Source organism: Homo sapiens, chromosome 2 (assembly GCF_000001405.40).
Source record: "Homo sapiens chromosome 2, GRCh38.p14 Primary Assembly".
Classification (NCBI taxonomy): Eukaryota; Metazoa; Chordata; class Mammalia; order Primates; family Hominidae; genus Homo; species Homo sapiens.
Window position 1 is genome coordinate 170,930,281 of NC_000002.12, and position 23,994 is coordinate 170,954,274.

Below are 23,994 nucleotides of genomic sequence, written 5' to 3' on the forward strand. Positions count from 1 at the left end.
GAACCGGGCGACTTTAGAAGTAGCATTGATGGTTGTTTGCTGTGACACCTGTGTGAGTGTTAACATGAACAGTCAACAGAGTGGCCGCAGCGTGTAGCGCCATTTAGGGGTGTAATAGAGTGTCACTCAATATTAGCTCCTCACAGGCAAGAACGTTTTCACTGAAAGTAAGAGAGTGCACTTCCTGGTGCTACCTTCATTTCCTGCCCTGGGTCCCATGTTTTAGGTGAGACACATTCTTAAATTGCCCAGCTGTCTATGTGATAGGGCTGAGACAGATCATCTTTCTGATCTTCCGGATTATCGTGTCTATTGCCTTTCCATTACACTAAAAATCCCTCCTCTGCCATACTCTTAGTAGGAAAGGGTGATTTTTTTTTTCCCCGAAAGGAAAAGGGAGCCTATAAATAAACCGTATTATCTTCCTATCCCCTTCTGCTAACCAAACACCCAAGAGCCACACTGAGAGAGGAAATGGAAGGAGAATTGTCAGTTCCCAAATGTGAGGTGAAAGCTGTGCTTTTCTTTCTATTATCTGGTCTGATTTTGAGTTCTCTACCCTGGGATGTTACCCAGTATTACCAGCTGTTTCTCACAGTGACCGATTGTGGTCATGAATCCTTGGGGATTCATGATATTTTTATAATACATGCACTCAGGGAAACTCAGTAAAACACATTAGTGTTAATAAGCAAAAAAAAAAAAAAAAAGTCGCGTGTTTGAAAGAAAGCCATACACATCAAAAGGATTCCAACTTAGTGACTGCATTCCGACATAAAATGAGTTTGTATTTTCTTTATGTAAGTGCAGTCAAGTGAAACAGCATTCATACATATTCAGTAGTGCAGATGTGTTATTAATCTATACATCTGATTTTTAGAAAAACTAGGGACAACCTTAGTTACCAATCTGCATCTGGAGCATTAATGTTGCACACGATGAAATAATTCTTATTTAGTTAGACTTTTACTAAAGAGAGCTTTAAAATAGTAATGATCTAGTTTAGGAGAATTTTGTGTCTGCCTTCCTAAGACCCTCTGCCCCTGATTCTGTAATTGGTTTTCTTATCTTTGTTTTTAGAGGGAAAAGTGCTGTGTTAAATCTTAACATGTAAAAATGTCTTCCTTTCATTTGTTATTGCCTAAATGGACAGCGATATATTTCATTGTTAGATTACCAAGCTTGTAAACTGGAGTAACTGTGGCAGGAAAATTTTGAATAAAATCACCCATATTCAACAAGTTCTAGAACGATTTAATTAGAAGTTAGTTTTCTTGAATAACCAATTCCCTGGCCAATCTTGTTGTAGTAAAAACTTAATATGATTGACTGGGTTTTGAAATACCAATTATAATAACATTTATATCCACTGCTGTCTTTTGATTTCATGAGTCCCTATAATTCAGATAGATTGAGCTTTCCATTTTTTTCATTATTTTTCAATATCCATCTAAAAATATTTAGGGGACAGCCTTTAAATGGATTCAGAAGTTCTGCTATGAGCAGTGTAGTTCCTTTTTATGTGTTCTGTATGTATGAGTGCATATTTTCAGATTGTGATCATATTGTGTACCCAACTTCTTATCCCCACTCCAGAGTAACCACTGTGGACAGTTTTTTACATAGCCTTTCAGATATATTTTATGCTTATAAAAAAGTCTCTTTGGCCGCGCACAGTGGCTCACACCTGTAATCCCCACTTTGGGAGGCCGAGGTGGGCGGATCACCTGAGGTCAGGAGTTCGAGACCAGCCTGACCAACATGGTGAAACCCCATCTCTATTAAAAATATAAAAAATTAGCCGGGCATGGTAGTGCACACCTGTAATCCCAGCTACTTGGGAGGCTGAGGCAGGAGAATCACTTGAACCTGGGAGGCGGAGGTTGCAGTGAGCTGAGATTGTGCCATTGCACTCTAGCCTAGGCAAAAAGAGTGAGACTTCTTTTCAAAAAAAAAAGAGTCTCTTCTTCTTCCACCCTTCTCTCTTTCTTTTTGTTACCTTGTAATCATGATCCATGCTGTTGCACACCTCAGTCTTCTCAGTTGTTGACCTATCTTGGCAGTCTTTCTGTAGTAGCAAGTGGCCATCTGCTTCATGCTTTCAGTTAGCTCACGGTAGTCTTTTGTACCATAGATTGGTTAAGGAGTACCTCCTGGTGTTGAACATTTGGTTATCTAGTCTTCTGTTATTATAAGTACATATTTACAACCTTAAATCCTACTTTTTGTTTTCCCATAACATACATCCTTTTCCCAGATTACTGTATTGAATTTTAATGGTAGCTGTCTGTAGAAATGTTGATCTTTATTTTAGTAAATAACTACATTGTTTTCTGATCATCAACATGTGTCCATTAGAGAACATTTGGATGTGGTAAAAAAGTACAGCAAAGAACCTGAATTACCTGTAATCCCACCATCTAAAGGCAAATACTGTTGAAGTATTTCTCTTAGTCTCCTTTTTTTCCTGGGCCTAACATCGCCCCTTAGCCATGTTTCACAAAGATTTTGAATAATATGACGTATTCAAGGACTATATGGCCAAAAGTTATCTTAAGAGGTTAACATTACAACCAAAATAGCCAACAGCTGAGAAATTGTTAAACAAATCAGGGCCTAAACACAGATAGAATGCTACACATTCACTCAAAATTGTGTTTCAGACACCCTGTGTGTGTGCAGGTACATTTGAGTGCTTAGGAAAATAAAGCTGAAAGGTAATAAACAAGGTTGTCTAAAAAATTATTAGTGGATGGTGACTTTTTTTTTAACTTTAATATATTTTCTAGGATTTCTGAAGTGATCATTAAATACTTGTATAGTCACCCAAAGTGTAGATATGCAAAATTACTTTTAAAAAAGAAGTGGACTCCTAGTGGAGGATTTAAAAATTTGTGTAGAAGTCTTTTTTTAAAAAATAGCATTTCAGATTTCCTTATATAGTGGGTCAGATTTGTGCTCACTATGAATGGCACTTTTATTTTGGTCCTCCAATCCTAATGTAAGGCAGGAAAAATGTTAGGGCTTCTCAGTTTTTGAAGTTATTGTAAGTTACCCCCTACATGTGAACTATGTTTAATATCAAATTTTTGCCTATATTTTCCATTAATTATCCAGTGAACCCAACAAGACCATTTTCAAAATTAAATTAAACCAAAATATCCAACAGGTGAGAAATTGTTAAACAAATCAGGGCCTAACCACAGATAGAATGCTATACATTCGCTCAAAATTGTGTTTCAAACACCCTGTGTATGTGCAGGTACATTTGAGTGCTCAGGAAAATAAAGCTGAAAGGTAATAAACAAGGTTCTCTAAAAAATTATTAGTGACATAGTTCACAAAATTAAATTTTTGGAGTGACCTCACAGATGCCTATTATAGGATCTGCTTTTAAATTAAAATATTCATATTCTGTTCCACACTTAAAAGAGATGGGGAATAGCTGAGGGCATACTTTCTGGAGCAAGTATTCAGTGTGGAGACTGTGTGGAGTGTGGAGACATGGAAAATGGCATTTTCATTCTTTCTCATGCTTGCTTCTGGGAGAGATTTTGAGGTGATGGATATTTTGAAGGAAGGGTCATTGACATGAAATGTGTCACGAGTGTAATAACAGGTTTTTATCTTCTGAGCTATTTGCTGCAGACTGGGTAACATTTAGGTGTTCTCAGAGAAGCAAGTGACTGCAAGTGGAATTACTTCTATAGAAAATGCAATGCCTACACCATATCTTCTATCATATGGAACTGCTCTTTTTATATATTTTTTTCTATTTTGTCAGAGATGAGGTCTCCCAAAGGTACTGCTCTTTTTAAATGGTGCCTAACTAACCTATCTGCAATCCTGTTGTGATGGGATTTCAATTTAGTACTTATTTTGAAAAAATTAATTTCTGATATTCAATAGTCATTGTCTTCTTTATTCTTCTAACAGTCTTTCTCAAACTTTTGAAACTCATACCCTGTTTTTTTTTTTGTTGTTGTTGTTGTTGTTTTGTTTTGTTTTTTTTGAGATGGAGTTTCGCTTTTGTTGCCCAGGCTGGAGTACAATGGCGCATCTCGGCTCACTGCAACCTCCCGGGTTCTCCTGCCTCAGCCTCCCAAGTAGCTGGGATTACAGGCACCTGTCATCACGCCCAGCTAATTTTTGTATTTTTAGTAGAGGTGGGGTTTCACCATGTTGGCCAGGCTGTTCTCGAACTCCTGACCTCAAGTGATCCACCCGCCTCCACCTCCGACAAGTGCTGGGATTACAGGTGTTAGCCACCACGCCCTACCTCATCCCCTAACACAGAAATCTCACTCTGGCTCCCTTCTCACTCATTCTGGAAACAATGGGTAAAAAGAAAACAGTAGGGTTATTTGGTATTGTTTTCTATATATAAAGTTATAATTGTGAAACCTGAAGAGTCTGACCCTGCCCCCAGAATTGATCTCTCCTTTTTTTTCTTTTTTGTTTGTTTGTTTGTTTGTGAGATGGAGTCTCGCTCTGTTGCCACGGCTGGAGTGCAGTTGTGCAATCTCAGCTCACTGCAACCTCCGCCTCCGAAGTCCAAGCAATTCTCCTGCCTCAGCCTCCAGAGTGGCTGGGATTACAGGTTCCTGCCACCGTGCCCAGCTAATTTTTGTATTTTTAGTAGAGATGGGCTTTCACCCTATTGGTCAAGCTGGTCTCGAACTGCTGACCTCAGCTGATCCACAGGCCTCGGCCTCCCAAAGTGCTGGTATTACAGGCGTGAGCCACTGTGCCAGGCCCAAAATTGATCTTTTCTAATAAAAGGCCCAGAAGTTGTTTAATAAACATTCTTTTAAATTGCTTTCAAATGTAGGAATCAGGATGTCTCAGTTTATTGAAGCCATGGAATACAATGTATATAAATCTTGGGATACTTTTAGGAATTATATCATTGAACATAAACTTTTTCTAATATTAATAGGCCTTGAACAAATTAGTAGTTTCATGTTGATTATATACACTTTTTTTTTCTTTGAGATGGAGTCTTGCTCTATCACCCAGGCTGGAGTGCAGTGGCGCGATCTCAGCTCACTGCAACTTCCGCCACTCCAGTTCAAGTGATTCTCCTGCCTCAGCCTCCCAAGTGGCTGGGATTATAGGCACCCACCACCACACCCAACTAATTTTTGTATTTTTAGTAGAGACAGGGTTTCACCTTATTGGCCAGGTTGGTCTAGAACTTCAGACCTCAAGTCATCTGCCCACCTCAGCCTCCCAAAGTGTAGGGATTTCAGGTGGGAGCCACTGCACCCAGCACCCCCAACGCCCCACCTCTTTTTTTTTTTTTTTTTTCTTTTTTTGACACAGGGTCTCACTCTAGGCTGGAATGAGTAGCACAGTCTCCACTCACTGCAGCCTCCAACTCCCAGGCTCAAGTGATCCTCCCCCCTCTCAGCCTCCCCAGTAGCTGGGACTACAGGCACACACCACCATGCCCAGCTAATTTTTTGTATTTTCGGTAGAGATGGGTTTTTGCCATGTTGCCCAGGCTGCCCTCGAACTCCTGAGTTCAAGCAATCCACCCACCTCAGCCTCACAAAGTGCTGGGGTTACAGGCGTGAGCCACTGCGCCCGGCCTGTATATGCTTTCGTACTTATGTGATGAGGTGTGTTTTAATGCCTGCGCTATCATCCTCAGGATTCTCACTGGGGGAGATCTGCTGTTAGTGGTTAATTATGGTTTCAGTAAGTAGTAGAGTGTACAACACTGATTCTTCTGCCTTCTGGGTCAGATACTAACAGGGCTTTTTAATAATTCCTCTGCAAATTTTATAAAAATTGAGCTTAGAATAACCGTTAACATCAGTGTGTTCATTTTGCTTACTTTAATATTCTATTGAAAGGATTATATATATTGATTGATTCACTATAAAATACTAATGTAAACTAGGAAATAGAAAGTTTGATATGTGCTTTTGAAACTGACTTTTTTTTTTTTTTTTTTTTGAAGCAGGGTCGCACTCTGTCACTATGGCTGGAGTGTTGTGGTGTGGTCATGGCCCACTGCAGCCTTGAACTCCTGGGCTCAATTAATCCTTTTATCTCAGCCTCCTGAGTAGCTTACAGGCATATGCTGCCACGTCTAGCCAATTTTAAAATTTTTTTGTAGAGAGATCTTTCTATGTTGCCCAGGCTGGTCTTGAACTCCTGGGCTCAAGCGATCCTCTCGTCTTGGCTTCCCAAAGTGTTGGGATTACACTTATGAGCCACCACACCTAGTCCTAAGTAGTTACTTTGAGAGACTGTACATTTCCCTGTTGGCATTGCAAATAAATTTACTGTAGCATGAAGATAATTATTCTGGGGTTTTGTTCTCTCTTTTAAGCATCAATGAGAGAAGGCTCAAGCACATTGTCAGAAATAAGGAAGCTTAAGCCGGGCATAATGGTGTGCACCTGTAATCCCAGCTACTCCAATCAGGAGACTGAGGTGAGGTGGGGGCCCAAGAGTTTAAGACCACGCTGGGCAACATAATGAGATCCGGTCTCAATAAAAGCAAAATTGTCACTTGACCAAGGACTTTGAGGCTGCAGCGAGCTATCCTCACACCACTGCACTCCAGCCTGGGTAACAGCAGCGTCTCTAAAATTAATTAATTAATTCGTTAATTTTTTTAAAAAAAATTTAAGGCTAGGTGCGGTGGCTCACGCCTGTAATCCCAGCACTTTGGGAGGCTGAGGCGGGTGGATCACCGAGGTCAGGAGTTCAAGACCAGTCTGGCCAACATGGTGAAACCCCCTCTCTACAAAAAATACAAGAATTAGACCGGCATGATGGCGCGTGCCTGTAATCCCAGCTACTCAGGAGGCTGAGGCAGGAGAATCGCTTGAACCCTGGAGGTGGAGGTTGCAGTGAGCCGAGATGGTGCCACTGTACTCCAGCCTGGGCGACAGAGTGAGACTCCATCACAAAAAAAAAAAAATTTTTAGAGACCCGGTTTTGCTCTGTTGCCCAGGCTGGAGTGCAGTGTCACAGTCCCAGCTCACCGCAGCCTCGACTTCATGGGCTCCAGCAGTTCTCCCTCCCTAGCCTTCCAAGTAGTTGGGACTACAGGTGCGTACCACCACAGCTGGCTGATTTTTTGAAGGGACAAGGTCTCGCCACATTGCCCAGGCTGGTCTCAAACTCCCGGGCTCAAGTGATCCTCCTGCTTTAGCCTCCCAACGTGCTGGGACTATAGCTGTGAGCCACATCCCTGCCCTAATTAATTAAATAAAAGTAAAATCCAGGCTTTGTGGCATGTGCCTGTAGTCCCAGGTACTCAGGAGGCTGAGGTGGAAGGATTGCTTGAGCCCAGGAGTTCAAGAGTAGCCGTGGCAAAATATTGAGAGCTTGAGAAAGAAAAAGAAAGAGAGAGGGAAGGAGGGAGGGAAGGGAAAGAGGGAAACAAAGGAGGAAGCACCTGGTACAGTGACTGTCACCTGTAATCCTAACACTTTGGGAGGCCGAGGCAGAGTATTACTTGAAGCCAGGAGTTTGAGACCAGCCTAGACAGTAAAGTGAGATCCTGTCTCTAAAAAAAATAAAGACAGAAGGAAAGAATCTTGTTATCTTTGTGGACATGAGTACATTGAGAAACTATCATAGTCAACCACCAGAGACCACCTTTGGGAACTGGATTCTAGTGCCAGCTCTATCACTTCATTCTGTTTCCTTGAGCAACCCTTTGAACTGCTTTGAAAAGCTTCAGTCTTTGTATCTGAAAAGTGCAGATAATAGCAGAGCCACTTCTACCTTTTCCACTAAAAAACACATTAGATACTGTGTATGAAAATAATGAAAACAATTGAGCATTATTAAATCTCTTTCTTAAAACAACGCTATCTACCTCCTTGATTATCCTGTGGGTTAAATGAGATATTCCATGTAAAGCACTTAACTTAGAATGTGGAATATAATAAGGATTCAAATGTTAGCTGATGCCTTTATTACTAGCATTTGCATTATTGTGTAGAACCAGTATCGTGGCAATACTAGCTAAAATATACTACTGTAGTTGTAAACATTTTTAGTATTTTTATTTGATTAAGCAACAGTTACTTTTTGTCTGTGTACCTAACCTGTACTTTACTGCTGTTTAAAACGTAAGTTTGAGGTCAGATCTGACCCATTAATTTTAGTCATATAGGCACACACATAAATGGTGCCTGTTAATTTCCTCTGATCCTCATTTTTAAGGAAATTGTTTTTTAATTTTAAACGGGGAGTGCCAGTATCCTTTTCATTGCATTGCTACAGTGTTACTACACACATTAATTAAAATGGCTGAAAGAGTCTATGCAATTAAAATGATCTTGCTGTATTTGATTTTCTTCATTGTAGAATCTATAGATAGCTTAGCAACAGTTAGACTTATTTCATGGTGGGTCATTCAGGCTTACAGATTACATAGTTAGCCTCCTCATTTTTGCAGCTAAAGAAAAGAAGCACAGGCCTGTAATCCCAGTACTTTGGGAGGCCGAGGCGGTGATCACCTGAGGTCAGGAGTTTGAGACTAGCCTGGCCAACATGGTGAAACCTTGTCTCTGCTAAAAAATACAGAAACTTAGCCAGGCATGGCAGTGGGCGCCTGTAATCCCAGCTACTTGGGAGGCTGAGGCAGGAGAATTACTTAAACCCAGGAGGCGGAGGTTGCTGTGAGCTGAGATTGCATCACTGTACTCCAACCTGGGAACAAGAGGGAAACTCCATCTCAAAAAAAAGAAAAAAAGCACAGAGAAGTTAATCTGATTTGCCCAAGGTCACAGAGCAAGTTTTCTTTCCCTAAGAAACAAATCCCTAAGTTATTTGAAGAATATAAAATGAGTTCAGAAGTTGTCAGAGTTTTTGCTTCTTTTAGAGCAAACTTCAATTTCTTTCGATGTTGTTTTTCTAATGTACAGATCTTTTCTGGAAAACTATTATGCAATAATGGGTTTTTATTTCCTTTTAGTTGCCATTACAATTTTATTTTAAATTGCTTGAATGTTAAAAATTATGTCAGGGTTAGTGTCAGGAGAACATGTACTTTGCTTTGTTTTGGAAGAACATGTGAAGACAATGTTTTAGCAGGTGAGGCTTGAACTCTTCTAGTCTACTGCAAAATTATTTACCACACATTTGTGTCAAGACCCAAATAAGGAAACTTACCCATTTGCAGACATAGAATATAGTAGTCTCTCCTTATCCACAGTTTGACTTTCTGTGGCTTCAGTTACCTTTGGTCAACTGAGGTCCAAAAATATCAGATGGAAAATTCCAGAAATAAACAGTTCATAAGTGGTAGATTGTTCTGTTTTATATTATTAGTTATTGTTGTTAATCTCTTACTATGCCTAGCATATAAATTAAGCTTTATGATAAGTGTTTGCATATGGGAAAAAATATAGTACAGTATATGTAGGGTTTGGTACTCTGCAATTTCAAGCATCCATGGGAGGTCTTGGAACATATCCCCTGCAGATAACAGGGACTACTATAGCTCCCTCACCCTCCTCACTAAAAAAAATGCTTATTATAACCACGGAGGATTTAGGATTTCTTTTTATTATATCACATTCCCAGATCTTTTCCCATCATTTTGATCACCTACGCACACATATAGTGCATGAGGATTTATGTTTATAGTTGAGGTGGGTCATCATTTAGGTATTGCTTGGATTGAATTTATTTTCTAGTCTTGTTTAACATCTCCACTGTTTTTAAAAGCAGTACAAGAGGGAGAGTGTTAGAAGAGATGATAGTGTAGATAGTCATTCAATGGGGCTTTTCTGCATTTTATGTGTGGAAAAGGAATATATGGTGTAGTAATAAAAAGGAGACAGTTATACATTCTAGTAAGCCAATTTTATGGTATAATTTTCATTGTCAGAAAACTTAAGGAAGATAATTTACATATCAGCCAGAAACATGGATAAGTGTGTCTTTGTGTATCACCTAGTGCAGCATGTAGTCTGGTGATATCCTGTGTGCTGCAAGTTGCCTTGTGGTTTACTTTCTTTGTTACTTTAAGGTAGAAGGTCTGTATACCTCAGCTGAAGGTATGTAAGTCAGTAGACCAGTGCAGTTGGGAGAATGCCCCCTGACACCCAACTCCACCCAAACACTTCTTCCCTCTTACTCTGCCATTCCTCCCTCCCCCAAGTGAAGAATTAAAGAGAGAAAGAGGTAATGTGAAATGACCCAAACCTAGCATAAGTAGTAGTAGTTGAACATTCTTAATCCTGGAAGAAGAGATGAATGCTTCACTGGAAAGCAATAGTTAGGTCTGTGTGTTAAAAGAAAAGAAAAGTTTAGGCTAAATCTGGTAAAACTTTTAATGATACGGGATCAGAAGTGGAGGGAAAAGTCAAGAAGTGAATTGCTTTTTTTTTTTTTTACCAGGAACTTAATGGAGCAGAAGTATTAACGGTATCTTGTAGGACAGCTTTTCCTAACTTTATTTTTATTGTAGCTCAAGCCAAAAAATGTATTTTCCATTGCAACCAGTACATACTACATTTCATGAAGAATATAGGCCTTTATTATATCATGCATTTTTGACAGATTTTCTATTGTGATATTGTGTTTTGATACTTGTCTTTTGTGACACACTAAATTGATTTCAGAACCTACTGAAATCATCCACTGTAGTTGAATGACACCACTTTAGGGATTATTTCTATAAAGTTGGTGATTAAAAAATCCAGCTTCTAATCATTGATGCAAATTTCTTTTTATGTAATAGAGATGCCCCTTTACTGTGCAGTTTCATCATAAGCTTCTCATTTTTGCTCGTTGAGGGGTAAAAACTGTCTAGCAAATATCATCTTGTTTATTGCAGCCGTTTTTTCTAGAATGTTAGGAGAGAAGCATTTCTTTCACGCTGCTGTAGTTTTTATTTTGTAAGCTAACCTCAGATGTATAGTTTGAACCTTACAACTGCCAGTTAATGTGTTCATAATTTCTTCTACCTATCCATGTTTTGGTAATATATCTTTTTATAATTATTATTTTGTAAGCATAATTGCTCTTTAGTATTTTCAGCTGCTTTATTATGTTTCTTAATTGTCAAAGTAAATCGTGTGGCCCTAAGAAGAATTGGAAAAAAAGGCATTGGAAAAAGTGTAACCTCAGTATACTTGTTTTGATACAGGGAGCATCTTTTAAGGCTTTATATTAAAAGAGTGCACACAAGTGTATAGCTTGGTGAATTTTCACAAGCAACACACTTAATGTAACCAGCCTCTTATCCCTTTCCAGTGACATCCTGCACAACTCCCACCTCCACAGGATGAATATCCTGATTTCTAACAGCATAGATGAGTTTGGCCTGTTCTTGTACTTTGTATAAGGGGAACCATGTGCTAGGTACTCATTTGTATCTGGCTTCTTTTGCTCGGATATTGCTTGTGAGATTTATTCATGTATATTATTGTAGACCTTTCATGTCATTAATGTATTTGGTGCCATTGAGAGAATATGCCAATATTTATTAACCTGTTGATGGGGATTTTTGTAGTTTTCAGTTTGGGGCTTTTATAAATAGTGCTACTATCAACATTATAGTGTATTGCTTTTAGAGAACATGTGTATACCCATTTCTGTTGGGTATATACCCAAGGTTGGAATATACGGTCAAAAGGTGTGCATATTTTCAATATTAATAGATATTGCCAAGTCATTTACTAGTTTGCATTCTAACCAGCAGTAATTGAGGTTTCTAAATGTCCTACGTCCTCACTAACACTTAATATTTTTCGTCTTTTTAATTTCATTCATTCTGATAGATGTGTAGTAGTGTTGCATTGTGGTTTTAATTTGCATTTCCTTGATGACCATTGAAGTTGAGCACATTTTCATATTTATAGATCACTTCAGTATCCTGTTTTGTTTAGTGTCTGCTAAAATCTTTTCTCCATTTCTCTATTGGGTTGTCTTTTTTTCTGTTTTAAGCAACTTTATTGTGATAAAAGTTACATACCAGAAAGTTCAGACTTCTAAAGTATACAGTTTGGTGGGTTTTTAGTATATTCATAGAGTTCTGCAACCATCACCACTGCCTAATTCCAGAATCTGTGTATTACTCCAGAAAGAAACCCATATGTATTAGTAGCCATTCCCCCATTCTTCCACCCACAACCCCTCATAACAACTAATCTGCTTTCTGTCTCTATGGATTTGTCTATTGCGGACATTTCATATTAATTGAATCAAACAATATGTGGTCTTCTGTGACTAGCTTCTTTCACTTAGCATAATGTTTTCAAGATTTATCCATGTCATAGCGTGCATTGGTACTTCATCCTTTCTTATGGGTATACCACATTTTGTTTATCCATTTATCAGTTGGGGGACATTTGGGCTGTTTCTACGTTAGGGATATTATGAATAATGCTGCTATAAAATTTGTGTACAGGTTTTTGCATGGAGATATATTTTCATTTTCCTTGGTTATTTGTATACCTGGAGTGGAATTGCTGGATCATGTGATAACTTTGTGTGTAACATTTTGAGGATCTGCCAAACTGTTTTCCACAGCGGCTACACCATTTTACATTCCCACCAGCAAATGTATGAGTGTTCCATTTTCTCCACATCCTTGCCAATGCTTGTTACTCTCTTTTTAATTATGGTCATTCCAGTGGACAAGAAATAGTATCTTGCGGTTTTATTGTCTGTCTTTCTGAACGCTTTACAGTAGTTCAAGATTTCTTCTGGATACAGATCCTTTGTTGGATATGTATTATGTCTTTTTACTTTCTTAATTATACCTTTTGATGAGCAGAAGTTCTTAGTGTAGTTCACTTTATCAATTTATTTTAGTTTATGGTTAGTGCATTTTGTGTCCAGTTTATTAGGAAGCCTTTGCAAACTTGAAGGTCTCAAAGATATTCTCTTATGTTTTTCTCTACAGCGTTTATTGTTTTACCCTTGACCTTTTAGAGCTGCCATCCATCTGGAATTGATTTTTGGGAGGCAACATTTGAAAAAATGGTTTGTCTCTCTTTCCTGCTAACACTTTACAAGTTTTATTTTTTCTTTTTAAGAGTAAAAGGTATTTAATATGGTTGTAAAAATAATGTTGTGTCCAGGAATTGGTTAGCTATAAAGACTTACCCTCAGATGGTGATTGCAGAGTTAGGAGGATGAGCTTAAGATTTCTTGGCCTTCTATCATAGGCTTGAGACTTAGCTAGGCATTTCATAAACTTAACTCATTGAATCTTTACAACATTCTTGTGAAGAAGATGGCGTTATCCCTTACTTGCAAATGAGAAAATTGAGGCCCAGCGTGGTAAATAAACTTTACCAAGCTCACACAGCTAATAACTGGACAAAATCATGGCTTAAAACCAACTCAGTCTGGCTCTAAAAGTCTATTATTTTTTCACTGTATATAATCTTTTAAAATCTTATTTATTTATTTATTTGTGAGATGGAGCCTTGCTCTGTCGCCCAGGCTGAAGTGCAGTGGCGTGATCCTGACTCACTGTAGTCTCGACCTCCTGGGCTCGAGCAATCCTCCCGCCTTAGCTTCCTGAGTTGCTGGGACTACAGGCAATTGCCACTATGCCTGGCTAATTTTTTAAAAAATTTTTGTAGAGATGGAGTCTCACTTTGTTGCCCAAGCTGGTCTTGAACTCCTAGCCTCAGGAGATCCTCTCACCTCTGCCTCCCAAAGTGCTGGGATAACAAGTGTGAGCCACCGTGCCTGGCCTTAATTATTAAATTTACAAATTTAACCTGTTCATTGTAAATTGCTTTGATATTTGGCCCAGTAATAAATGTTAAATGGTCTGTGGAGCCAAGTATATATAGACTTTTAGTTAAGATGACTTGAAGAAAGCGAAGATAAATTAATAATCAGGAGATCTCATAGGGGATAGAAAGTATTGAAGTGGTAATCTGATGCTTGAGAGATTACGTGCCAGGAGATTCTTGTCAGTGGATAACATTGCAAGAGAAACTTACCTGTGTCAGTGTTTGGTTTGCTATGTTGTAGATCATATTTTCCATGCTACAAAATATAGGAAATTTCCTTTAGGTATATGAGGGTCAAAGAGAGGATTTTTCTAGGGCACTCTCTGCTGACTTCCTAGCAGTAATTAAGATACCTACCTATGTAATTGTGCAGATACTAATGATGTAAATAAATTTAGGAAAGAAGTTAATTTCAAGGGCCATTAGAAACAGAGAGGAAATCGATGTTAGTAACAAATGAAATAGAAAAATAGAGCTAGGGAAAGGATCAAGTTTATTTTAGAATTCAAATTTAGCTATTGAATCATTTTTGAATTATAGGAAAAATACTTCTGATATTGGAAAATTTCCATTTCAGACAAATAGTTTAAACTTTATACTCTAAAGTTTATACTTTAAACTTTATAAGGGTGGCCTAGTAAGAATCAGTATGCAGGGTCAGCTTTCTACATGAGTGATTACCTTATAAAAGTGCTGTCTTTAGCCCTTTTTAACTAAAAGGTAAACTTCTGGCAGTCTCAGTGGCAAAGTCTGAAATTGATCAGTGACCTAGTTGAGTTCTAGATAAAATGCTATTAATAGTTTTTTAGAAACATTCAGATTCAGAGAATTAGGTGATTAGATGTGGGCTTTATTAGATGAGAAACTCCACTCTGAGGAGGCGCCTGAGGATCTGTGCTGTTCATTCCCTTTCACACCTGAGGCCTTTCACATCTAATTGATAACCACCTAATAGGCATTTCACATCTAGTTGATCTGACTTTGTCCCCAGTAGCTGTGACTTGACCTCACTTTTCTTGTGACTCCAGGCAGCCACTACTTTACCTTTCAGAGTTGCCATTTGAGAAGAAATATGCTATTTTGAGTCCTAGACATTTTATTTGATAACATACAGAATATGAAATAACCCCCATAGAAAACTGAGTATACAGAAACTAAAAGCTGGGTATGGTGACGTGCCCCTGTAATCCTAGTGCTTTGGGAGGCTGAGATGGGAGGATCACTTGAGACTAGGAGTTCGAGACCTGCATTGGCAACATAGCAAGACCCCCATCTCTATAAAAAATTAAAAAATTAGCTGAGCATGGTGGTACACTAGAAAAAATTTAAAAATCAGCTGCGTGTGGTGGTGCGCTAGAAAAAATTTAAAAATTAGCTGGGCATGGTGGTGCACACGTGTCCCAGCTGCTTGGGAGGCCAGGAGTAAGCTATGGATGCACCCCACTCCACTACAGCCTGAGTGACAGAGTGGGACCTTGTCTCAAAAAAAAAAAAAAGAAGAAGAAGAAGAAACTGAACACCTTTAATAGATCCCTTTGATATTTAACTTATTTAATTTACAAAATGATTTGGTCCCAAATTTGCAGGGAAACATAAAAAACATGATCAAACAGTTTTAGGGAGTTAGACGTTGAACCGTCTATATAGGGCAACTATTCTTTACTGTTATCAAAAGAAGAATATCAAGTTTTACTTCTTCTGAGACAATACTATAATTTGGCGTAAATAAAAGGTAACATTAAGAGGTAATGAACAATTCTGATTGACACTGGTATTAGAAGGATGTATTTTAGGAACAATCTGTGTTCCATTTTGAAAGTATTAAAATGACTTGTTACTGTATAAATAGCTGTAGCTTTGTGTATGGTTGAAAGTGTATCTGTCATTTGCTGCTGTTATTTGCAAAACTGACTATAGAACTATTTGGACTATTATAGAAAGTCAACCTATAAATATCAATGCAAACTTTTGTTCTTGTGGAATAGATTTTTTTTTGTTTTGTTTTGTTTTGAGACAGGGTCTCGCCCTGTCCCCTATACCGGAGTGCAGTGGTGCGACCTGGACTCATTGCAGCCTCAATCTCCTGGGTGCAAGTGATCCTCCCAGCTCAGCCTTCCAAGTAGCTGGGACTACAGAAGCATACCCCCATACCTGGCTAATTTTTTTGTAGAAACAGGGGTCTCCCTATATTGCCCAGGCTAGTCTCAAACTCCTGGACTCCAATCCTCCTGCCTTGTCCTCCTAAAGTTCTGGGATTACAGGCATGAGCCACTGCACCTGGCCATGGAATAGTTTTGACAGCACTTAATAATATCAAGCAGAATAAAAATTCCTTGGGAAAATATTTTGGAAAAAAAATGTGGAGTGGATTATATTTTTTATTTTTTGTCATATTTCTGTTACTAGCTACTAACATTTTACTACTGTAAATTTTGAAAATTTGACAGTCCATTATCAAATATGGGATGATAAACATTTGAGTTGTTGAGAAGCTAAGTAATCTTTTTTATTCTATGAACCTATGAATTATATTAAAAGTAATCTCACTCTTTCATTTAAAGGCCAGTAAATGTAGCTCTACCCCTTCTTTCCAGCCTTTTGTTAGACTAATAGTTTCAAGATGGACTTTTGGCCGGATGCAGTGGCTCACACCTGTAATCCCAACACATTGGGAGGCCGAGGCGGGCAGATCACTTGAGGCCAGGAGTTTGAGACCAGCCTGGCCAACATGGTGAAACCATGCCTCTACAAAAAAAAAAAAAAAAAAAATTAGGCGGTGTGGTGGTGGTGCACACCTGTAATCCCAGCTACTTGGGAGGCTGAGGCACAAGAATTGCTTGAACCCGGGAGGTGGAGGTTGCAGTAAGCCGAGATTGTGTCACTGCACTCCAGCCTAGGCAACAGAGCAAGACTCTTGTCTCAAAAAATAAAAATAAAAAAGATGAATTTTTGAGTTTAACTTCCACCATTAGGCAGCTATGGAATCATAAGCAAGACATGGTAATTTTTTTTAACCTATCAAATGAAAGAATTGCACAAAATCCCTGGTTTTTAAACCTTCTTGGAGTTATGGAGAAACCCTTTGAGAATCTGATGAAAGCCACCAATATTTACACCCTGAAAACTGCTTATTCATATAAAAGATAGTGTGTAATTTCAGGAGCTGTAGTATTCTCTGAAGCCATCCACAGACCTCAATTTAAGATCCCTGGATTAGAGGATTTCTGGGTTAATCCTAGTTTTCAAAGTCTATAATTCTCTATTTCTGTCCACACTACTCTGTTGTCTAGCTACGCATGCTGTGATCCTCATTCTTCAGACTCCTGCTTCGGGTGTTTACTCATACTGTTTTGTCCATTTTCAGATGTCCTTCCTACCCCCTTGACCATCTTTACCTTTGAATGTTCTACCCTCTTTTTAAACCACAATTCCTTATCACTTTTTATGTCTGAAGCTTCTTCAGTCAGAATTAATCTTTCCCTTAGAACCTTATACCAAATAGCCTTTAGCCTGTTTGGTTTTACATTATAGTGATTAGAGGGCTGTGTATCCATTGCCCCTTCCTCTTCTCACCTATTCCTCAACAGATTATAAATGTCTTGACATACGTGACTATGTGCCTGTATTTGCTTTGTAACTGAGTGGTGCCTTGCTAGTAGTAGTCAAGGAATAATTGCTTGAATTTGTCACTTAATTGTAGTGACTGTCTGCTGTGTCCCCTGCTAATTGCTGAGAGGATTAGCCCCTTTCTCCCAAAAAAGGAGAAAGTGGTGCAGAAATAGAACCACAGAGGGAAAACCTCATATAGAAGATGAACTAGGCCCGGTGCAGTGGCTCACACCTGTAATCCCAGCACTTTGGGAGGTTGAGGCAGGTGGATCCCTTGAGCCCAGGAGTTCAGGACCAGCCTGGGCAATAAGGCGAAACCCTGTCTCTACAAAAAATACAAAAATTAGTTGGACATGGTGGTACGCACCTATAGTCCTCCCAGGTACTCGGGAGGCTGAGGCACAAGAATCGCTTGAATCAGGGAGGCAGAGGTTGCAGTGAACCGAGATTGTGCCACTGCATTCCAGCCTGGGCAACAGAGGTGGAGTCTGTCTCAAAGAAATAAAATAAAAATATAAATAGAAGATTAACTTAAAGAATGGGTAGAGTTTAGGGAGCTGGACGGGCATTATCTGGGAGAGATGAAGAGAAATGAGAGAACTAGCGTGTACTGTATTTCATTATCAGTGAAATTGGTCTATTTTTACTGAAAAGAGAGATTCGGCTTACAATTTTCACCTAAGCTTTACATTTTTTATTTTTGTCGTTTTTGTTTCCGCAGGTACAAGAAAATTCCCCAGGACACAGAGCTGGTTTGGAGCCTTTCTTTGATTTTATTGTTTCTATTAATGGTTCAAGATTAGTAAGTTCAACTTTCTGTAGTTTTGTCTATAGTATTTGTAATCTCTCAAAAATGGAATTTTTCAGATGACCTGAGATGGGTATTTATTAGTTACAATCATTATGTGTAGTATGCCAATTTATAGAAATAATCATGTATTAATAAACATTGAAATATCTATAATATTATACCTTATGCTCCACTGATTATCTTAGGGAAGTCTCTAGAATCAGTGGAGTCTTTTATATGTTAAATATTTAATTTTTATAAGCAGAAAGAAATAATTAAGATGTAAAAGATTGCTTTTTAAAGATGTCAGACTTCTGTTGGTTGTTGACAAATGGATTACTAGAAAGATTCATTCTCTCATCTCATTCTCTCAAACTCGTCAGTTTTCTTGGTGCTAAGTTTCACAATATATGAATAATGTTATTAGAACCAGACAGAGAGATGTGCTCCAAAGTACCAAATTAAAACCACTTTTTATACCTTGTTTAGAGTTTACCCATAATAAAGTTCTAAGATAAAGAAATTATATAATCTCAGCAAATTCTTAGGACAGTAGCCACTTGGTTGGTTTAATTTTTCGTAACAGTCTTAAGTTTTCGTTCATTACTTACAACATCTCTGACATATAAATAAAGGCCAACATCTGGCCTTTATTTGTTTATGAAATGAAATATTTAATATGCTGTTTCTACTTTCTTTTCTATCCAGCTCTTAATAAAGCATGTATTTAGAAATAGAGTCCAAAATTAAACGTTAACCCCAGTAAATGTTTTAGATTTTTATAATCAAAGTCATCACAACTTCGTTAGTAATGTGACTTCTTATGGCATATTTTGTTTTTACACATTGAAGCCCTAGATCATTCTAAATAATGTTGGGTTGCAAATTCCATAATCCATAATGAGCTATTAGAAAAAAGTCAGTTTCAAGTTGTTGCTAACGTAAGAGTTCTTAATTTCTTGACATTCTTTTACATAGAAGAAAATTTAAATGTTGGTGAAACCTTTGTTGAATGTTTTATTTATGTTGATTATTAATATTACTCTTATAGGGCCATAGGATGCTTAAGCTAACATTAAATTTTTATTTACTAAGGAATGTGATTTCTATGTGTTCACAGAATAAAGACAATGACACTCTTAAGGATCTGCTGAAAGCAAACGTTGAAAAGCCTGTAAAGATGCTTATCTATAGCAGCAAAACATTGGAACTGCGAGAGACCTCAGTCACACCAAGTAACCTGTGGGGCGGCCAGGGCTTATTGGGAGTGAGCATTCGTTTCTGCAGCTTTGATGGGGCAAATGAAAATGTTTGGCATGTGCTGGTACGTATCAACTGTGAACTGTTACTGGAGGTTCATGAAGCAGTGTGGAAAGATGTTTTAACAATGGTTGTTTCTGGCTTAATAAGATTGTAAGGATATTATTAATAGGCAATTTTTGCCAAAAATCAGCGTTCATTGCTTTTTAAGTATGGATCAATTTTTTTTTAAGTTGAGGAAGAGAAGCAAATGTACAAGTTTAAGAACTTTTTCTAATGATTTATTCATTATAAGATGTGTTAGAGTAGATAGCTACAAAAATATTTTAAATATTTGTTAAATATTATGTAATTTTTATGCTCAGAAGTTTAAAATATATTCTGTAGTTTCTGACATCTGACACATCTCTAGCAAGACAGAAGTATACAGATTTAAAAAATCAACATAATTAAAAATTGGACTATAAACCTTGGAAGATTATTTTATATATATTAATTTTAGGGTGTGTGTTTATGTCATTCTAGGAGGTGGAATCAAATTCTCCTGCAGCACTGGCAGGTCTTAGACCACACAGTGATTATATAATTGGAGCAGATACAGTCATGAATGAGGTAATTCGTGTGTTTATTCATAGTGAGAACTATATAAAATTTTCTCATTGAGGTTTGAGTTGAGAAAGATATTTGCATGCTTTGCATTTAGAGTTAAAATTTCAGTCTTTGCTGATCAAAAATAACTTAAGCCTCAGGGTGTTAAATGGAACATCTGGTAGGTGTCTTATTAGGTATAGCTGTGAGGAAAAACACATACTGTGCGGCAATTGCACAGATTTTATGTGTAATATACAGAAATCTTTGCATACCTGAAGTCTAAATCAAATTCTCATTTTCAATTGTTCATTGATTTCATTTTCTCTTCCCCTTTTTGTTCAGTGACAGCATTAGCTCAGCTATATTACATCCTTTTCCTTGTCTCTTAGCTAGCGGAAGTATACATTGCTAAATCAAAAATGAGAGAAAAGGCTGGGCACAGTGGCTCATGCCCATAATCTCAGCACTTTGGGAGGCCGAGATGGGAGAATTACTTGAGCTCAGGAGTTCGAGACCAGTCTGGGCAGCATAGTGAGACCTTGTCTCTACAACAAATACAAAAATTAGCCAGGCATGGTGGTGCATGCCTATAGTCCCAGCTACCTGGGAGGCTGAGGTGGAAGGATCACTTGAGCCTGAGAGGTTGAGGCTGCAGTGAGGCAAAATCATGCCACTGCACTCTAGCCCAGGCAACAGTTAGAGAGACCCTGTCTCAAAAAAAGAAGAAAAAAAAAAGAGTGAGAAATGAGGTGCCCAGACAACCAGGTCTTAATAATGGGAAGTAAAAGCAGAATATGTAGAACTCGGGTGTAAAAGAATTGTACTAAGAGTGCCAACTAGATCTTAAGGAACTGGCCATAAAGCCTTGTATGTAGTAAGTAGGCTTTGCTTGAATTAATATATTGAATTAAACCTGCTTGTGATTTTTATGTCTGGGGCAGGGCCCAGAATCTGTATTTTTTTCTTAGATTTCTCAGGTGATTCTGATAGCCAGGTTTGAGACACACTGTTCCAAAGTATGGTAACGTGAAACATTTTCTCCTGTGACACTTTTGCAGTCTGAAGATCTATTCAGCCTTATCGAAACACATGAAGCAAAACCATTGAAACTGTATGTGTACAACACAGACACTGATAACTGTCGAGAAGTGATTATTACACCAAATTCTGCATGGGGTGGAGAAGGCAGGTAAGGTCATTTTTTAGACTAAGTTATGACTGCTTAAACATACCAGTCAGATATGTTGCAGACATTGATTGTTTTTATTTTGAAAGAAATTACTGGTTTATTTTAAGACTCCTCTTAAAAAAAAGGGAAGAGCTAGTCTAGAATATTGAAACCAATTTTTTTAAAGTACATATCTAGGGAACATAGTATATATACTATAGTCCTTTTCTTTACTAACCTAAGAGCTAACAGCATTTCTTTTTAATTGAGAAATTATTGCGCATAAGCCATAATTATAGAAAAGCCTAGAATTTGGAAACATTCCACATGTTTTCAAAAGTTCTAATCCCATGCTGGGAAAAGGATAACTTAGTTGCTGCAGGCAGGAAAAGCTTCCGTTTGCTCACAGTATCTTTACCCACACTACCTGAGATTCTCCAGCTGAATGTTTCGCCACAAGTATTCTAACTTGTTGCAGTTTGAGAAAAGTAAGATAGATGTGTCATCCAAGAGTCTGGCCTATATGGGGCAATACTTGATCAAATTATCATTGTCCATTGCCCAGGTTTGTAAATGCCCAGAAATAGGATCTATTCGAGGCATTCAAAATTTATTCATTACAAGAGGCACTTCCTCATATAAACTACATTTGCAGAGAAGCTGCTATATTTGAATGACAAATTTTCAGTTTGCAATAGAAAAATACCCCCTCTCTAGTTAGAAGAATACTCAGGTCAGATTAGTACCACAAGAGTGCCTGCTGAGCATGGAATCAAACTGGAGGAAGAGATTCTGTGGACAGTGAAGACCAACAGCAAAGAACATCACATATTCTTTCATTTTTAATTATGTTAACTAAATTTGGCTACATTCTTTGGAAGACATTTTTTCTTTTGATGTGTTTAATACTGTCAGTTGGCCATTGCATTAGCTAGGCCCATACAGAACATTTTCGTCAGTCTGCCTCTGACCATGCATTTGGTCTTTTTGTGCTTCTGTTTTTATTCCTTCCTCAGAGGCTGACCACATTTCATTTATTAAATCTTATTTCTCTTAATTTCATTCTTAGGCTGTCTTTAAGTTTGCCCAGGGTCTTGCTGTTGCCTCAAGTGCATTGTCTATTACCACTTAATTACTTTGACCAATAAGCACCTTGTTTTCAAATGTAGCTACCTCTGAAAGGCCATAATTGATCACTATAAATTATTTAATCTTTATTTCTCTAAATCCCAGTCCAGTGAGAATTGCAGGGTTTTGTTTGTTTGTTTGGAGACAGCGTCTTGCTCTCTGGGCTGGAGCACAATCATAGTTCACTGCAGCCTTTAACTCCTGGGCTCAAGCTGTCCTCCCGCCTCAGCTTCCTGAGTACCTGGGACTACAGGTGTACACACTGTACTTGGCTAATTTAGAAACTCTTTTTTAGAGATGGGGCCTTGCTTTGTTTCCCAGGCTAGTCTTGAACTCTTCGCTTCAAGCAATCTTCCCACCTTGGCCTCCCAAAGTCCTGAGATTATAGGTGTGATCTTCCATGCCTGGCCGAATTGCAGTTTTGATTGTGAGGGAAGAAGGGAAGAAGGAACAAATAATTGTGAGATGAAGCATCATTGTGCATATCAGACTGGTAAAGGAGGAGCTAGGCCTGGCATGGTGGCTCACGCCTGTAGTACTACCGCTTTGGGAGGCTGAGGCGGGTGGATCACTTGAACTCAGGAGTTCAGTACCAGCCTGGGCAACCTGAAGAACCGTTGTCTCTACAAAAAATACAAAAATTAGCCAGATGTGGTGGCATGCACCTATAGTCCCAGCTACTCAGGAGGCTCAGGCGGGAGGATTGCTTGAGCCCAGGAGGCAGAGGTCGCAGTGAGCCAAGATCATGCCACTGTGCTACAGCCTGGGCAACAGAATAATAAATTGTCTTAATAAATAAATAAATAAATAAATAAATAAAATTAAAAAGGCTGAAGTTGGCTACTGCCTGCTCACCCAGCTTTTGGTGGCAGTGGAGATAATAGATGATGTGGCAGGAGAAGGGCACAGAGGTATTCATGCATGGCCTACTCTGAAATTGTCAAGTTGTTTGGGAAATAAAAGACATCATGATGGAAACATAAGTTGGAACCTGATTATGGAGAGCCTTAAATACCACGGTCAGGACTTCCGATATATTTTGAGCAGTTGAGGCTGTGATAATTGTATCAGTAAGGGGTTTTGGGTTCAAATGGTAAAAACTAGCTGTCACCATCATAAGCAGATAACATACTTAATGATATGGATTAGCTCATATAATCAAGGAAACAGCTGAAGAACCAGATGTAGAAAGGACAGGACTCAGAAAACCTAGGGATTTAGATAGGAAGAAGTATTTGGCAATGTCATCAGCATTCATTCTACTAAACCCATTTTTGTTTTTTCTCTGACTCCCAAGGTTTGCAGCCATGGGCAAGAGAAATTGGCCTGGCTTTGACCATGAGCCATTCCCTTGGTTTGGGCAGGGCAGACACTCTGATTGACAATCCTACCAGCACTGCACACAACAGCAGAGAAGTAATTCCCCAAAGGGAGGAAAGAGAAAGGAATGTTGAGAAGACATCAGACTAGAAAGAAGCAATGTGATCACATCTTACTAGAAAAATGCCTCTGGTGGCAGTGGGAGGATGAAATAGAAGAGATCTGGGTTGAACATACATGACTGATTTGTGTCAGGTTCTGAAAGAGAACTATGGAATGTGTAAATGATGTCATCATACAGACGTGCTTAGAGCTCTTCAGTGGAAAGGCTGTATCGATGTCATTTGTTTAGCGAGTAATCATCAAATGTCTGCCATGTGCCGGCAGCT

General features: G+C 38.4%; 1 protein-coding gene across 2 annotated transcripts in view; it reads left to right on the forward strand.

Moving 5' to 3' along the window:
• GORASP2 (golgi reassembly stacking protein 2) overlaps positions 1 to 23,994 on the forward strand; it is a 38,654-nt gene that overhangs the window by 1,804 nt on the left and 12,856 nt on the right. For both annotated transcript variants that reach the window (NM_001201428.2, NM_015530.5), the window contains exons 2-5: positions 18,070 to 18,150; positions 19,259 to 19,462; positions 19,924 to 20,010; positions 21,048 to 21,178. In NM_001201428.2, coding sequence (NP_001188357.1) covers positions 19,319 to 19,462; positions 19,924 to 20,010; positions 21,048 to 21,178 — 362 coding nt within the window. In that variant the 5' untranslated portion in view covers positions 18,070 to 18,150; positions 19,259 to 19,318. The remainder of the gene's footprint in view (positions 1 to 18,069; positions 18,151 to 19,258; positions 19,463 to 19,923; positions 20,011 to 21,047; positions 21,179 to 23,994) is intronic.